Source organism: Homo sapiens, chromosome 13, assembly GCF_000001405.40.
Source record: "Homo sapiens chromosome 13, GRCh38.p14 Primary Assembly".
Lineage (NCBI taxonomy): Eukaryota > Metazoa > Chordata > Mammalia > Primates > Hominidae > Homo > Homo sapiens.
The window spans coordinates 108849172-108867901 of NC_000013.11; the positions used below are offsets into that span (position 1 = coordinate 108849172).

General features: G+C 36.7%; 1 protein-coding gene across 5 annotated transcripts in view; it reads left to right on the forward strand.

Annotated features, from left to right (window-relative positions):
- MYO16 (myosin XVI) overlaps positions 1-18730 on the forward strand; it is a 712290-nt gene that overhangs the window by 353456 nt on the left and 340104 nt on the right. For all 5 annotated transcript variants that reach the window (XM_011521062.2, XM_047430183.1, NM_015011.3 and 2 more), the window contains exons 11-12: positions 6272-6382; positions 17006-17071. In XM_011521062.2, coding sequence (XP_011519364.1) covers positions 6272-6382; positions 17006-17071 — 177 coding nt within the window. The remainder of the gene's footprint in view (positions 1-6271; positions 6383-17005; positions 17072-18730) is intronic.

An 18730-nucleotide genomic window follows, 5' to 3' on the forward strand; every position in this document is an offset into this window, starting at 1 on the left:
TCTGTTTTTTTGTTTTTGTTTTTGTTTTTGTTTTTCTGAGATGACGTCTTACTCTGTCGCCCAGACTGGAGTACAATGGTGCCATCTCAGCTCACTGCAACCTCCGCCTCCCGGGTTCAAGCGATTCTCCTGCCTGAGCCTTCCAAGTAGCTGGGATTATAGGTGCCTGCCACCACGCCCAGCTAATTTTTGTATTTTTAGTAGAGACAGGGTTTCACCACGTTAGTCAGGCTGGTCTAGAACTCCTGACCTCAGGTGATCTGCCTGCCTCTGCCTCCCAAAGTGCTGGGATTACAGGCATGAGCCACTGTGCCCATCTAACACACAGTCTTTTTTTTTTTTAATTTCCTCCTTTGTGTGTGTGTGTGTGTGTGTGTGTGTAACTTATCCATACTGGGTTATTTGCCCCTAGACTGCCTTCCTCCAAATCCTGTTGAATTTCCTCTTTTGTGTGTGTGTGTGTGTGTGTGTGTGTGTGTGTGTGTGTGTGTGTGTAACTTATCCATACTGGGTTATTTGTGCCTAGACTGCCTTCTTCCAAATCCTGTTGAATTTCCTCTTTTTTTTTTTTTAACTCATCCATACTGGGTTATTTGCCCCTAGACTGCCTTCCTCCAAATCCTGTTGAATTTCCTCTTTTTTTGTGTGTGTAACTTATCCATACTGGATTATTTGCACCTAGACTGCCTTCCTCCAAATCCTGTTGAATTTCCTCTTTTTTTTTTTTTAACTCATCCATACTGGGTTATTTGCGCCTAGACTGCCTTCCTCCAAATCCTGTTGAATTTCCTCTTTTTTTGTGTGTGTAACTTATCCATACTGGGTTATTTGTGCCTAGACTGCCTTCCTCCAAATCCTGTTGAATTTCCTCTTTTTTTGTGTGTGTAACTTATCCATACTGGGTTATTTGCGCCTAGACTGCCTTCCTCCAAATCCTGTTGAATTTCCTCTTTTTGTGTGTGTAACTTATCCATACTGGGTTATTTGCGCCTAGACTGCCTTCCTCCAAATCCTGTTGCCCTGATCCCACAGGTCAGACCATCTCTGTTGCCCCCTGGGCTTCTACTCCCTGGACATGTGCTACCAACCTCCCAGAGAGAAATCACAAACAAGCAAACGCAAGACAACATGGTAAAGCCCATGGTACTCAAAACAGCGTCCACACAATGGAGACGAGGGATCAGCAAATTCAGAATACTTTCAAAACTTAAATTAGCTTTGGATCGCAAAACATTTCTCAAGGTGTTTCCCCTGAATTCTTCCTTGTCTTCTAAATTATGCCTATCTTGTGTTTTAGATCTCTCCTTTTAGAAATATATAGAATAAAAACCATAATGGTCAATTTTGGAGAGGACAGGCAATCTTTTGTACTTATCTGGTAATTATTGTTATAATTGTTTGGTAGACATTGGTGGTGCCCACTTTTCAGCCTACAACTGCAACATAAAAACATTCACAGACATATTTTTTACTTTTCTTTCTACTTGTCAGCTGTCACAATGCTTTTGAAATCTATAAAGAATCTGCTCCTTTGATAGCCTCGCTTAAGATTGATTATCAAAGCTTCCTTTCAGGTCATTTTGGAATCTTGACGTGAGAAATGCAAGGAACTCTTCCCTTGATCTGCTCTCACACTGGCTCTGCCCCACTGTGTAACTATAAACAGGCTAGGGAGTAGTCACATTTTTAGTGTCAGCCTAGTACTTTCTCTGACCCATGTAACAGCTGTGCCACTGAAAACGAGAATCCACAGGAATACCAATGAGATGTCTGTGATAGCTGTTCCAGGCTTGCTGGAACAAATGCAGAACTTCTGTTAGTACTATTCATGTTTTTGCTAAATGTGCACACAGAAATTTGCATTGAAATTGTTAGCATCGTGACTGTAAGAAGGATCTTATTATCTTAGCATAAATCATTACTCCTGAAGAAAACACAAATCTTACTCTTGATTTTCCTCTTTTTATGATTTCTTTAGGAGTTAAAGATGTATGCTAACTTGCTGGAGAGTTTTGCCTTCTTTTTGCATTACTCAAAGTTACTGCAATCATTTATTGATTTACATCAAATTATGTACATGTATGAATATGCATATGGATTAATTTTTGTACATGCATACGTGCATGCCTACATAGTTTTGGGGGTTGTCTATATGTGTGTGTAAGTTTATGTACTTTGCAGAAATGTTGCAAAGATATTAAAAAGAAAATATATTTACATCCATCCCTAAATTGATGGTGAAAGCTCCCTTTCATGTGTCTCTCTACATAATGACTTTTGCCACAAGTGATTTCTCCTCTAGAAAATACATTCTTACCTAATTGCACATGTTTTCTAGATTCCTTTTATATCCAAAGGCAAGCATTCCAGTCTGTGATCCTGGACTGCGTAAAAATTATCCATCTCTATAAGAAAACCTTCAATCTTGTCTAAATCAATTCTAGTTAGGAAATCAAGTGCAACTTAGTTGCATACAGTTGCATATGGCAGCTCCTCTTTTTCTTAAATTAATCAAAGTCCAATCCATTCCTCCTCCTCTTTGACCTCTTCCTTGGGCCACCTTTTTCTAGAGCTTGCTAGCTGGTCTCACCACTCCCGCCTTTTCTCTGCTGTAGCTGCCAGGGTGTCATCTTAGCACCGTGAAACTGGTCTTGTGGTCCCCATGCTCAGTCCCCTCCATGACTTTCACTAATTCCTGGAATGTAGCAGCTCTTCCTCAGGGCCCAGGAAGCTTTTCCAGCTCCTTCAATATCCCCTGCTGCTGCCTCCTCCCACCTCCTCCACGCCAGGGCATGTTCTAGGGCCTCCCACACACCCATCTCCTCCCGACCTTACAGCCCTCACCATGTCCTTCCCTCTCCCAGAGACATCTCTCCCCACATCCCACAGTACTGCCTTTTAAAATTATGTCCAATTTCAGTGTCAACGTGACCTCTTCAAAGACGACTTCTCAGATAATCTAAAGTGAAATTTTTCTCTTTTCAAAGCATCCTGTTTTTCCCTTCACGTACATTTTGTACTTGTCATTTCTTATTTCTGTCCTAACTTCTCCCCCCAGCCCCCCAGTAGGGGAAGTCACAAACATCATTCCTTTTTTCCTCTTTGTGCTAAACCTCTAGCACAATGGCCAACAAAGAAGGTAAGCAAGGGAAATTTGGCCCATTATTGAATAGATGTCATCAGATGTTTCCATTATCCACTGGAATTCCGCCTGTTCCCCAGTGGTTATCATGCCAGTTTTGCTTCTGACTTATCAGCTGTGTGACCCTAGAAAAACTACATGTCCTCTCTGGGCCTTAAGTTCTTCATCCTTTAAATAAGGATGCTATAACAATGAATGCCAAAATTTTAAAAAAATGTTATTCAGCAGAAGAACCTTCCTCAGAAAGAAATACGTGAACGAGAACTCTGATTCCTAAAGCAAAGGAAAGCTGAGCATCTTTGCTGAGAACAGCGCGGACAGACCCAGGGCCCTCCACACTCACCCGCATCCCTCCCGCCAACAGCTCCAAGGGAAGCTGGTAGGAAGTTACATGGTCTCCGTGGCCCCTACATGTGTTACTAAGGGCACTAATGAGGCACACTTAGCTGCAGAGGAGGCACTGGGCCAAATTTTCCTCATATATTTAATTCCCTCAACCACTTTATGAAGTATAGACTATGTTTCATCACATAGAGAATGAAAAGCAGCTTCATGATGTTAAGGTAGAAAAATATTCAAGAACTCACAGATTGGAAGATGTACAACTGGGGTTTAAACACTGTTGTTCATACAGCTGAATACAAATAATTGATGTTTCAGAGGTAGATGAGCTCGCATTTTCTAACATTTGAAGTAGGGAAGCTCAAATTCATGTCTAAGATATTGACCTGAATTTGTGTGACCGATGAAAGCAGAATTAAAAACTGCCTGGATCAAGACCACCAGTTCCTTCGCCTAAGGGCTACGCCGAAGGCAGCATCACTTCTATGGTCGCGCCTCTCTCTGAGAGCTGTCAGTCTAGGTAGCGCTCGGTGCCTATGAGACTCCGCAAAGTGGAACTCAGTGTATAATGTGAAAAAGTTGATATCAAACAATTTCAAAATTGTTTTGACAACCCAGGAAACACTGGCATAGCTGGAACATTATGACTTCTATTTTTATCAACAAAAAGTACCAGTTTTTGGCTGCAACTCCTGAACGATTCAAGTAGATAATTCTGACAGCATCAAAGCCTTAAAGCTATGCCCCTAACCCAACATTAAATAACTAATTTTAGGAAAACTATATTATATGCTTGGTGTAGGTTAATGCTGAAAGATATTTGGAAATACGTTTCCTTTAAATGTTGCAAAGTAGTTAAAATAATGAACTCAGGGTGTTTGAGTTTGTGCATCTTGGTGGGGAAGGGTACAGGCTTGTTGTTGATATTTCTGAGATCTAGATTTTTTTTTTTTTTTTTTGAGACAGGGCCTAGCTCTGTCACCCAGGCTGGAGTGTAGTGGCACTATCATGACTCACGGCAGCCTCAAACCCAAACCCCTAGGTTTAAATAACCCAAACCCCTCAGCCTTCCAAGTAGCTGGGACTACAGTGCACATCACCATGCCCAGCTAATGGAATATTTTACAAATTAGTTTTTAATAAGCATTCATCTATTGGAATATTGTGTTTCCTGCTTATAGAAATGGTTTGAACTCCAGTGCCATAAAGCTTGCTGCCTGCCACCATTCTAACTAGAGTTCATAAAAAAAATGTTCTGACCTTTCAACATGCCCACTACTCAATTTGTGTTTCTATTATTGTGTGTGTGTGTGTGTGTGTGTGTGTGTGTGTATTTTTGTTTGTTTGTTTGCTTTTGAGACGGAGTCTTGCTCTGTTGTCCAGGCTGGAGTGCAGTGGCTGGATTTCGGCTCACTGCAACCTGTACCTCCTGGGTTCAAGCAATTCTCGTGCCTCAGCTTCCTGAGTAGCTGAGATTACAGGCATGTGCCACCATGCCCGGCTAATTTTTTTTGTATTTTTAGTAGAGGTGAGGTTTCGCCGCGTTGGTCAGGCTGGTCTCAAACTCCTGACCTCAAGTGATCCACCCACCACAGTCTCCCTGTGCTGGGATTACAGGTGTAAGCCACCACACCGGCCTGTGTTTCTATTATTAATGCATTAGGTTTAGAAAGCCTGGGGAGAAAATAAGCCCACTTTATGAACTCATGGGAAAGATTTTACTTTGCGAAATATCCACTAATATCAGAAAAAATAGTCCTAAATTTAGTTTTATTAAAGATGTTTAGTATTTTTTACACTACATAGACATGATAAGCAGAAATATTTATGTTCAAATTATTTAACAATGGCATATGCTGTTAATAATATATAATACAGATACAAATACAAAATGCAAATATAGACTACAAACATGAATACAAATGATAATTATTAAAAATTTACTAGGAGTATCAAAGAACTCACATTGATAAGAATATTCTTATTCTTTTGCTCCTCTGTGTGTGATATTAAAAAAACACTACTACCATATTACATCAAATGACTACTTTTCTGAGCATGTTCTGGGTATATAAAATTAAAATTGCCCATTTCTAATTTGAAAATAATGGATTTTCATTTAATTGAAGAATCCAAATTTATCTTTTTTATTTGAAATGTTGCAGTCTTTAAACATTCATGGCATATTAAATTGAATAGGAAAGTATTTTTTCTTTATGACAGTTATTTAATCTCATAGCTACCTTAATCTTAAAAGTAATGTAGAGCAGAATAGAAAGATCTGAAGTCTACCTTTAAAACCTGGCCTCATCCTACATGAATGCAGAATCTAAATTCCGTACACATTTCTTCCTTACCATGCCAACAATGGTAACATGAAAAGTTTTGCTTTAGCTTAGGGAACACTACGGATATATGAGGTGTTCCACTGCTTATCTTCCAGAGAACTGAGAACAGTACAGAGCTGTCTAAATTATCAGTAGGGAATAAGAAAAGTCAACATGCTGAACTCATCTTGACAGACCTAATGCCTGGGCTAACAGACAGGGTGTGTGCACCTGCACACTGGGGAGTATAGCACAAAAATTCTCATCTGAATACATTGCTCTGTGGCTTTAGAGTTTTTTTTTTTTTTCTTTTTCATTGAACCATTTCATCTCTTAATAACAGTTCCTAACTCAGGTTGTCTTCAAATGTTTGACAGGTAATTGAAAGTGGAACATCCAACTGTGAAGAAAGTTGATTGGAAAGCAATTAGAATTGATCATACTTTCGGTTCTTCCCCAGGTCAAGCTAATGCCTCCTGCCCCAAACGATGACCTGGCAACGCTCAGCGAGCTCAATGATGGCAGCCTGCTCTATGAGATTCAGAAGCGCTTTGGGAACAATCAGATCTATGTGAGTGCCCTGGAAATTGCCTTTTGCACTGTTTTTCTCTTGCTGCATATTTTTATCACCCTTCAGTGCTTCAAATGTTGCAAGTAAAGGGCTCATTGGAGCTTCTGGTAGTGGTGATAGCTGAAGTTGAATTTCTTAAGGTGAGTTTAGCTTCATTCTGGCTCAGTTATAAGGCAAATTCAGCACAGTTCCAAATTCTGGAGCTGAGTATGAACTAATACCCTGTGGACAGACACAAGTACTGCTATTAAACTTTCCTGTTGTCATGATTGCTGTGGAAGATCTTGCTAGAACCAGCAGGATCTGCACATGACTTATAAAATTGCTGTCTGTCTCCTCTACTTTTCTTGAACCTGCTAGATCAGGAACAGGAAGCGAAAGAGCATACATTGACTATGCAGGTAAGACTGCATCTCTATTTGCATAAGAAGAGAAACTGTTGTGGCTCAGAATTACCAGGAAATGTCTTTGTAAAGTAAATAATTTATACACAGATTCCTGATAGTAGAATCCGAAAATATTACTCAAATGACAGCATGGAGAATTTATTTACTGCGGTTCTATCGTTATTTGTATGTTACTTTCCCAGCACTGATAACAGTTTAGGCACCTTGTAACATCAAAATCAATCTCTTTCTCTTTCTCTTTCTTTTTCTCTTCCACTCTCTGATTTTGTTATATTCTACACAGAGCACAGAGTAATTCAATCAGAATGTCTATAAAGAAATCTGATTATGCATATACCAGCTATCCCTTTTTGATAACACTTGTTTTTTTTCTAGTCTACTGAGGAACTGATTAAGTAATTTTCATGTAAATGTGAAGTCTGAGATTTCCTTACAAGTAATAAATTGTCAAATGCTAATTAGCCTATGAAAATGCAATGTAGCATCTTAATGCTTAGAAAAATTGCCTGCCACTGTAAATACACTTAAAATTAAGTACTTCTGTTAAAATTAATGAAATCATGTCATTGGCATAAAGTGGTGAGAGCTGATTACTTTGGTCTCTGTTATCACCCTGTTACTTTTGTAAAGTGTGTATTTTTATAACATTTTTTCATCTTTTTTCCCAGTATTGTGTTGATTTTTTTTGTCTTAATTATAGAAGCCTGGAAGACCATTGCCTAATTTCTTTTGTCTTTCTTTACCCATTTGTGCCTTTAAAGTGACATTTCATCTAAATATGCATTTAATCTGGTTCTCTCCACCCCGGTGGTAAGCACCCTCATCAAAGCCATTACCTTCCCTTCTCTAACAACCTCCTAACTTTCTAGGGGAGGCTTCATCATTCTTTTTCAATCCAATCTCACAATGAACTAGAGTAAGTTTTATAAAGCACAAATGTAATCTCAAAACTCCCAGTCTTGAATCTTCTCTATGGCCCACCACTTTTCATGGAACAAAGAGCGCAACCCTTCTTCCAGAGGCTAGAATCCTCATGATATGCCCTGAACAGTCACTGAGGACTCTTCCTCACTTATATCTAAATTACCTGATTATCGCCTGCCTTCCTGCATCAAGGACTTTCCTTAGACTGTTTTTTTGTTTGTTTGTTTCTCCTAGAGTTATCTTTCTGCTCCACAAAATAGTTAGCTTTATAAACTCCCACTCAAATAATCCCACTCTTTAAGTAAACCTTCCCAGAGCTTCTAGATTACATCATCATGGACTATCTGCCTTTAGAGAATTTATCACAGTTGGTTATTCTGTAACTCATTGGTAGTTTGTTAACATCTGGTTCCTGGGCTGCTCAAAAGCCAAACACCAGAGACAAGGTTGATGGGAGGAAAAGCAGGTTTATTTGGAAAGCCAGCAAAACTGAAAAGATGGTACACTAGTGTTCTAACGTACCTTCTCCAATTTTTCAGGCTGGCCAGAGGGTGTTTATGGGAGGGACATATGCAGAAGAGGAGGGTGTTGGTATCAAATGGTGAATAAGGACTATAGACATCTGGGGACCAGGGAGGGTCTAAGGACTTGGGAACTTTGTCCTTGTCAGGCTACAACTTTCCTAGAAATCTTTGACAAAACATAGTTGTTTATGCACTTCTCCTTTAATCCCAGAGTAAAAACTACACAATTGCTATTTTTGCATTATTATCTCAGTGCTTTAAGATGATCCTAGCCCATGTGCAAGAATAGGTAAAGCAGCTTAACAAAATGGAGTTCGTTATGTGAGTTTTTCTGCTGTTTCCCTCTTAAACAGCAAATACTTCCTATGTTTTTATCAAACTCCTGCCTCTAGCTCCTCCACACAGTGGACTATCTTCTTAAATAATTTTTTTCTAGTCAGTTTCTCTCTCTTTCTTGATCACCTGAACTATTAATACTACTCTCTGCTTTCCGAATGTTCATATAACATAAATTTGCCACTGTGCGAGGCACGGGTTTCTTCTGCTCAATTCCTAAAATACAGAAAAGCTCAATCGATTAGGATCAATTTTGTAATAGGAATGCTTTACATTATGGTGTCTGAAATCCCCTCTAATGGGTAGACAAGCAATTTAAACATTATGGATTAAATGACAATATGTGCTTCCCAATGTGTTGTCTGTGGACTAGTAGATATATGAATATTTTATGACCAGTGTGTAGTGAAAATAAGTGTTTTTACAGAAACTCTTCCAGCAGTTTGTTGGTTTAATCCCTATCTGTTGGAGTTAATAAGAATCAGAGTTTGAACTTCGTATGTCTTTTAATCACATTTTTTAGTAATTCTTTTTATTATGTTTTACAAAGGTATCAGTCCATGATTAATTGGGACTAAAAACAAGTGATCCTTCCCCACAAATAGAAAATCACTAGTTTAACAGAAATCTCAAAATTCAAATACCCGAATTTGGTCATTTGAGCTCTTCCAACCTGCACGTCTCATGGCCTTTCCTCCCTGGCTCATGGCAGCCCCACTCTTGTCACTTCTTGGGCCAATGCATTTGGTGAGACTGTTGATGCTGGTTTTCCTTCCACACCCCACATCTGATTTCCCTGCAAATGTCACCGGCCCTACCTTCAAGTTATACACAGAAGGCCACCCCCACTGCTGCCTCCAGGTACATATCTTCCTACAGCAATTGCATTTTGCACTTGCATTTTATCCTGCAAATAAGTGTCTGGGCTTCTCTTGACCTCCCCTCTGTCTATTCTCAACACAAAAATTCAGAGTAACAGTGTTAGAATGCACATTGCATTATGACACTTCTCTGCTAAAAAGATGCCCAATTCACTCAGTAAAGCCAGAGTCTGAGGAAAGGCTCATAAAGCCGCAACGCTTTCCCCCTACCTTTTGAATTTCTGACGTCAGATGCTGGCACCCTACCCTGGGTGCCTCTACCCTGGCCACATTGCTGGCCTTGGTGTCTCATGAGTATGGGCAGCACTTCGGTGCAGGGCTTTGCCTGAGTAATTTGACCACCATATGCCCATTCCTCCCTCCCTTCAGGTCTTCATATCAATGTCATTGCTTCTGGAGGCCAGCCCCCAGTCTATTTGAAATCGCAAAATGCACTTCCTATCCTTCTGCCTTCATATGTTTTCCTCCACAAACTTACCACTCTCTAACATACTGTATATTTTTCTTATTTAGATTCTTATAAATACCATGTGCTGATTCTCCCTACAAACACAGACTGTCTGTCTCTCTCTTTCTATCATGCCCATACCCACTAGAATGCAAGTTCTATAAGGAAAATAATTCTTGTTTTGTTCACTGCTATGTATGACCCATAATAGGTTCCCAATAAATATTGAATAAATAAGTAGACTTCCTCAACCAAAACCCTAATTTTAGACGAGAGAAAGAAGTTAATATTTACTCATCCATACCAAATAACTGAGGGTTGAGCAATGATTTGTTTTCAGAGCCAAGATAAAATATTTTAGCTGACTTAATCATTTGACCAGGATTTTCATCTCTTTTTGCTACAGTCCGATTTTTTTTATAGTATGATCTTTCAAAACAGATTGTAAATTGCCTTTTTACTAAGTATATAACCTTCTATTTGGACGTTAGATTAGGGAGTTTCCACAGTCTGCAGTATTAGGGAGTTCTCCAACCTTCAAACAGAAAATGAAATGCGTGTGATGAGACACATGCTCGCCAGGAAATGCACAGAATACAAGCGTTGCATTCTCTGAATACTTACTGCCAGCAGCCCCAGAGAGAACAGAATATGCAGTCAAATTCCTTTATGGACAGCAAAGAAGTTTGCTGGAAGTATTTATTTTACAAGCACATTAGTGGGACTTGAGACTCATAAAAAAAACCCCACAAAGTAAACACAAGACCTCCTGTAACATCTGGTTAGCCAAGAGAATTCTGAAACAAATATATTGTAATTGGATAAAAGCAAACCAGAGCAATAAAGCATCGCATGACAGCTCCTAGTACACAGCCTCACTCATTTCAGCCACTTAACATGCCACTCCGGGTGACCCAGGTTAATGTAGCAGAGCCTCTTTTTTTTTTTAACTTTTATTTTAGGTTTGGGTTGTAAAGGTTTGTTATACAGGTAAACACGTGTCATAGAGGTTTGTTGTACAGATTATTTTATAACCCAGGTATTAAGTCCAGTACCCAATAGTTATATTTTCTGCTCCTCTCCCCCATTCCAGCCTCCTTGGCCAAGTAGGCCCTGGTGACTACCGTTTCCTTCTTTGCATTCATAAGTTCCTATCATTTACCTCCCATTTATAAGGAGAACATGAGTTTGGTTTTCTGTTCCTGTGTTAGTTTGCTAAGGATAATAGCCTCCAGCTCCATCCATGTTTCCATAAAAGACATGATCTTGTTCTTTTTTATGGCTGCATAGTCCTCTATGATGCACATGTACCATTCTTTCTTTATCCAATCTGTCATTTATGGGCATTGAAATTGATTCTATGTCTTTGCTATTGTGAATAGTGCTGCCATGAACATTCGTGTGCATGTATGTTTATGGTAGAGTGATTTATAATTCTTTGGGTATATACCCGGTAATGGGATTGCTGGGTTGAATAGTAATTCTGCTTTTAGCTCTTTGAGGTATCACAGTACTGCTTTCCAGAATGTTTGAACTAATTTACACTCCCAACAACAGTGTACTGCTGCACATCTGTGACCATCTGTTCTTGGACAGAGCTGATAAAAACAAGCAATGAGGAAAAGATTCCCTCTTCAATAAATGGTGCTGGGACAACCGGCTAACCATAAGCAGAAGAGTGAAGCTAGACCCCTTCCTTGCCCCATATACAAAAATTAACTCAAGATGGATTGAAGACATAAATGTAAAACCCAAAACTATAAAAACCCAGGAAGACAACCTAGGCAGTACCATTCTGGACATCTTTCTTAATCAACAGATTTCTAAATTCACTCACAATCTGCTTTCTAGCTCAATTTTTCTTCTCTGGAATTTAACAGGAGTTTTCAGATACTACATTAGTAAGGTCCTTGCAGATGTATTATTTCACTTTTATTTATTTTCTTATTTACTTGGGTATAGAATACTGAGCAATCATTTTTTCCCATAAATGTTGTATTAAATAACGACAAACAAACAAGGTAATATACAACTCATTAATATATGGCTTAATGAACTTTTACTTCATGAACACACCCACGTAACCTGCAGCTTCATAATGTAATAGAAGAGAGAAGTCCTCTCCCAATCCACACTTAGTCATTACAAAATATTCTGACATTTACAGCTATAGATTGGTTTTGTCTGTGTTTTTTAACTTTATATAAATGCAATCTGTTTTGTAGTATTCCTCTCATTATTATGTTTCTAATATTCAGCTATACTGTTGCTTGTAAAAGCATTTACTAATTTTTGTTTATGTACAATAAACTACTATATGAGTATATTCTAATTTATCCACTCTATACTTGAGGAAACTTTGAGTTGTTTCCACTTTTTTAGTAATTACGAATAATATAAACAGTTTTGCACCTTTTTATTTTTTGGCCCACATAAGTACTTCTATGGGGTCTTTACCTAGGAGTGGAATGCCAGCATCATAAAATATGTTCAGCTTTGGTAGATACAACCCAATTGCTTTTGACATAAATGGTGTTTTTGTTTCACTAAGAGTTTTTCAAATTCCAGCTATTCTGGCAGTTGTAGAGTGGTAGCTTATTGTGTTTCTAATTTCTATTTCTCTGATTTAACAAATGAAAATATTAATATGTGTTTGTTGTTCATTTGATTATCTTCTTTTGTGAACTGCCTGTTCAGTTATAGTGCCATTAAAATTGGGTTTTCTTTCTTCTTCTTGATATATAGGAGTTTTTATGTATTCACGATATTCTTTTTGTTGTGAAACATACATATTGCATTTTCTTCCAGTTTATGGCTTGTATTGTACTCTTCAAATAGCGTATTTAAAAGAAGCAAAGTGTACAATTTTACAGATTCTTTAGGGTTCATACTTTTTGTGACCTGTTTAAGAAAGCTTGGCATTAGTTATGAAAATGTTTTCCTACATTTTCTTTATAACATTTTATTATTTTAGCATTTACAGTTAAGATATTTTGGTGCTGATCATAATCCTGAAAGACACAATCCCCAATGCCATAATTTAGAATGTTGAAATCTCAAAAGATCGAAATCCTCAAAAATCAAAATCCCCAAAGTCTGAAATGCCAAACATCTATAATCCTGCAAATCACAATCCTGAAAGAATAAAATTCTGAATGTTAAAATCCTGAAAGCTGAATTCTAGGGAAAGGATTATTGTGGTTTTGGTTGTATGCAGAAGAGTTGCATCATGATTTTGACTTGCAGGATTTTGGACTTTAGGTATTTCACTCTCTTGGGATTTCAGCATCCAGGATTATGTTGTTTAGGGTGGTGTCTTTTGGGATTATGGCCCAAACCCAAGGCTACCATATTACCCATGTGGAAAAGATTTCACAATTGTGAAGGAGGAGGATCCAGATTAAAACTGTTCCCACATGTGTCTCCCTGCTGCATGATCACAGCACCTTTGTCCTAAACAGGTGACCCCAGGGAGTGGGTGCATTTCTAGGATCTGTTTTCTTTTGTATTGGTCCGTGTGTTCCTAAACAAATCACCAAATATCTTGATCATTACAGCTATATAGTCAATCCTGACAAATAGAAAGTCCCCTAAGTTTGTTCTTAAACATGTGTTAGCTAATCATGACCTTTGGTTCATGTATACTTTAAAGTTAATTTAACAATTTCAATTGGATTTGTATTGGTATTGCATTGAATATATAGATTAAGTGGAAATAATTGAGAGTTTTACAATATTTGATTTTTCATTTCACAAAATGTTATAGCCCTTTTATTGGCCATCTTTAATTTCTCTGGAGCAATTTTGATTTTTTGGTATAGAAGTCTTTCCCATATTATTAAATTTGCTTATTGGCGTTCTTCATATTTTGAGGACATAATAAATGTTTGCTTGTTTGTTTTATGGAAAATAAGAAGAAAAAATTATTTTCTAATTGTTCACGGGTAATATATAGAGAATACAATTTTGATTTTTTCATATTCATTTTTTATCCATCAAACTTGCTAAAGTTATATGTCAGTATTAATTTACATAAACAGTCCATTGGTTTTCTGCATCAATGCCATATAGTCTGCAAATGATGACTTTTATTTCTTTTTTTGAAAAAGTCATACCTTTTTTTCTTGCATTACTTCATGAGATAGAACTTCACTAAAAAGACTGGAAGTGTCGATAATAAGTGCCCTATCCATTGCCAATCCCAGAAAAAAGCTTTGAGTGTTTCATCATGAAGAAATTTGTGGTAGCTATGCCATAGGTATCATTACTTTTCATTAGATTAAGGAAGTCCCATTATATTCATGATTTTCAAAGTTATTTTTTAATCAATAATGAGCATTGGATATTATTAAATGCTTTATCTCTGTTTATGCAGATGATCATATGTCTTTTTAAGTTTTTTAAAATATTATTAGTTACAATTATTGATCTTCAATTAGAAACCAACCTTGCATTTCTAGAATAAAGCTATTTGAGGTGTATTATCATTATTACTAAATTGCTGGATTCAATTTGTTAATATTTTGCTTAGGATTTTTACATGTATTTTAATGAGAGAGTTCAGCCTGTAATTTTCCTTTATTGCAATATTCCTATTAGAGTCTAATGTCAATTTTGTGTGTTGTTCTTAAAATGGGAAGTGTTCCTTTTTCTGTTATCTTCTGAAATAATCTGTAGAATGTTTGTTTATTTTGTACATCAATGTTGGGAAGAATTCACCAGTGAAGCCTAAGTTTTCTTTGTGGAAAACTATTTTAGACATAGATTCAGCTCACTTTATAGGGAAATAACTAATTAGAATTTCTGTTTCTTATTGTGTTAGCTTTGGTATGATGTATTTTCCTAGGATTGTTGTCTACTTGACCTTAATTTCTAAATTTAGTGGCTACACTATGGTTCATAATACCATCTTCATCTGTTTTTACATCCATACAATCTGTCTTGATGTCATATTACTGATTGCTATTGGTAGTTGGTGCATTTCCTCTTGTTTTCTGAATGAGTTTTGCTGGGGTAAATTGTACATTTTTCAAAGGATCACCTTTTGGCTTTTTTCACCCTATTCCATTGATTTCTGCTTTGATATTATTTCATTCATTTTACTCATTTATTTCTTTATAATTGATGTAATTTTTTAAACTCCTTGAAGTTGATACTTAGATCATTAATTATCACTCCTTTTTTCCTTTTCTAACAAGTATTCTAGGCTATAATTTTTATCTTAAGTAGACCTTTAGTTGCATCCCACAAGTTATGATATAATAGAAATAGTCTTATTTGCATTTTAATTCCTTTTTAACTCATTAGTTATTTGCAGATATATTGTAAAATTTCAAAATGTTTGGTGATTTTCTAGGTACCTACTAGTGACTTCAGTATCTTTTTAATTAAAATAACCTATTTTAAAATTGTATATTTTTAAGGGATACAACATGAGTTTTGTTTGGATTTTTGTTTTTGTTTTTGTGTTTTTGAGACAGGATCTCACTCTTTCACCCAGGCTGGAATACATTGGTGAGATATCAGCTTACTGCAGCCTCAACCTTCCAGGATCAAGTGATCCTCCTGCCTCAGCTTCCTGAGTAGCTGGGATGACAGGCATGCACCACCATGCCCAGATAATTAAAAAAAAAAATTGTAGAGATAGCATCTCACCATGTTACCCAGGCTAATCTTGAACTCCAGGGCTCAAACAATCCTCCTATCCTCCTGCCTCATCCTCCCAAAGTGCTGGGATTATAGGCCTGAGCCACTGCACCTGCCCATGATGCCTTGATGTACATACACTTAGTGAAATGAGTTCTACAGTGCAGCACATTAACATATCCATCACCTCACATAGTTATCTTTTTCTTTTGTAGTAAGAGCACCAAAACTCTACTCTCTTAGCTAATTTTTAACACCAGTATAATATTCTTTTTTTTAAAAAAAGGGAAAGCATTTATTCGGATTTAGTTTTCTGGTGGGTGACATTAAGGCCCTTCACACAGAGTTCAGAAGACAATATTCTATCCTAATTCTACCGTAATAGAACATACTCTGTGTGACTCAAATCTTTTAAGTTTAATGAAACAAGCCAGTGTTCAACTTGTCAGTAACAGTGTTTTATATAAATAAATTGATCAATGTGGTAATTACTACTTTAAAATTTTGTCTGCTTGTTCCATGAATTACTAAGAAAAATGGTTAAAATGTTCCACTATAATTGTGAACTCATATTTTTCTCCTTATATGTTATTTCTTTATATATGTGATGCTAGATTTTAGTCTTCTAGAAATTTAGAAATGTTGTTTCTTCCTGATTGATTTATCATTTTACTCTGAAATGTTTCTTTTTATTTCTGGTACTGCTTCCAAAAGCACATTTTCTATAAATTAATTATTTCCATAGTCACCTTCTTTGCTGTTATTATTGTTTGCATGCATACCTTGCTTCATCCTTTTCCCTTTTTTTTTAGTCTATATGTTTAGGATGTTTCTCTTTAAAGTAGTCATCTTTCATATTTTAATACAATTTATAATCTTTGTATTTTAATTGGAGTATTTGGTACCTTTACAACTGATGTTGTTGCTGGTGTTTGGGTTTAAATCTATCATTTTATTATTTTTATTTGTTCCATCTGTACTTTGTGCCTTTGTATCTCATTGTCACTTTTTAATTGAAACAAAGTATTTTATTTGATTATTGTGCTTTACTAACTTCTCACTTATGCAGTTTATTATTCTGTAGCAGAATAACAGAATTTGTTACTCCATTGACTTTTTCGTAGGCATTTTGTCATATGTTTTAAGTCTATATTTTTTCATTGTTTCATTCTCACAGAATCTTTTAAGAAAAGAAATTCTTAGAATTTAACTATTTCATTTCTCTTATGTTCAGTGAAATAAAGCCTGTTTTATTTAATTTGAATTATTTAATTCATTTAATATTTTAAATTCCAAACTTTAAAAAAATTGCAAAATATTAAAAAATAGCAAAATACTAAAGTAGATTTTTTCTTATTATTTATATTTCATACACTGGTTTTTAAATTGTATGATTTTTATTGTTTAAAGATGCTATTTATATGACTCATGAACTGTTTGCATCCCTTTTTTCACAGACATTCATTGGAGACATTCTTTTGCTTGTTAACCCATACAAGGAGCTTCCAATTTATTCTTCCATGGTGAGCACAAAATTTTAAATATCATTGAATAATGTAGAGTAATACTTTCTAGTCATACATGTTTGTATCAAATGACTAAAAAAAACAGGCAAACTTCTAAAAAACATTTTTAAATTCTGAATTGAATGATTGTGTAGCAGTGACTTTAATTCATTTTGAGCAACCTTGAAAATCGAAGTTATTTTATCAAAATGTTTCTTTGCACTTAAAATGTGTAATTTGTTTATGACTATAGCCATTAGACAGACTTCTAAAATTAAATAATATGTAAGTATATTTTCCATACATTTTTCACTAACTCAAGATCATTTGGCTTAGAGCCCTTATTTGGACACGTGACTTATTTCTGAAGAGTTCTATAATGTTAAAGCAATGGGAATAAAAAAGGGTAATATTGCATGTTTACGTTTTCCCAAATGACTTGCCAAGTGTAATTATGAGGCCCTAAAAATTAAAAGAGAAATTACTTGTAGAAAATTATTCCAGTCAATTGAAAATGCAGTATGATTTTTGAGTAGAAATGGGTCAAAAATACTATATCATAGGAGCTATTTTTTGTGTAACAACAAGGCTGGTTCCGCTAATACAGAACAGGAGGCTGCCTGAAACCAGGAGGCAGGGAGTGGGTATATGTTCCTGAAGCCGGGGCTCACTCATAAGATGTGGCGGGCAGGGAGGAGGACAGAGAGAGGAGAGAAAAAAAGAGAAATTCCTCCAACTTCCTAGGAAATCAAATATGTATTTTCACAGAAATAGTTCATGAGAACAAGAGAGCATCCACCACCCCACCCTCCACCCATCTTATCAAAAGTCAATTCTGGCTGGACTCGGTGGTTCATGCCTGTAATTCTAGCACTTTGGAGGACCAAGGCTGGTGGATCACTTGAGGCCAGGAGTTTGAGACCATCCTGGGCAACATAATGAGAGACCCATCTCTGCAAAAAACAAAACAAAACAAAACAAAACAAAAACAATTAGCCAGCTGTGGTGGTGTGTGCCTGTGGTTACAGCTACTCAGGAGGCTGAGGCAGGAGGATCACTTGGGCCCAAGAAGTTGAAGCTACAGGGAGCTGTGATTGTATTACTGCACTCCAGCCTGGGAGACAGATTGAGATCCCGTCTCTAAATAGAATAAAGTAAAATTAAATTAAATTAAAAAGTCAGTGCCATGGTTACTTTAAAGCTGTGTTGAAACCTGCCTACCCTCCTCATTCCTCCCAATCCTATGCCAACCTCACCCTGTGCAATCTAAGGGTGTGTGTGAGCATGAGACGCTAGGGCAAGGGAATCACCCATGATCATTTCAGGAGTTTCATCCAAGGACTGAAATTAATCTGACATGTGGTTATTAAATGGTTTTGAGAAAAAGCTCAGTTCTGTATCTTTCACTTTGTGAGTCCTAATTAATATTTCTGTGAATATGTGTATTGACGTATAATATAAATATTGCATAGCATACAAATATTAAATCTTCTGTTCAACTAATTTATAAAAGTCATGACACTCTAAAAACCATCATGCAGATGAAGAAATAGAGCATTAGCAGGATCATAGATGTCTCCCATGCCCTGTGTCAAACGTGACATACCTCCCCAAAAGACAGTACAATTCCAACTACTCTCGCCCTCCGCTTTGCATGGTTGAACTTTATATGGGTGA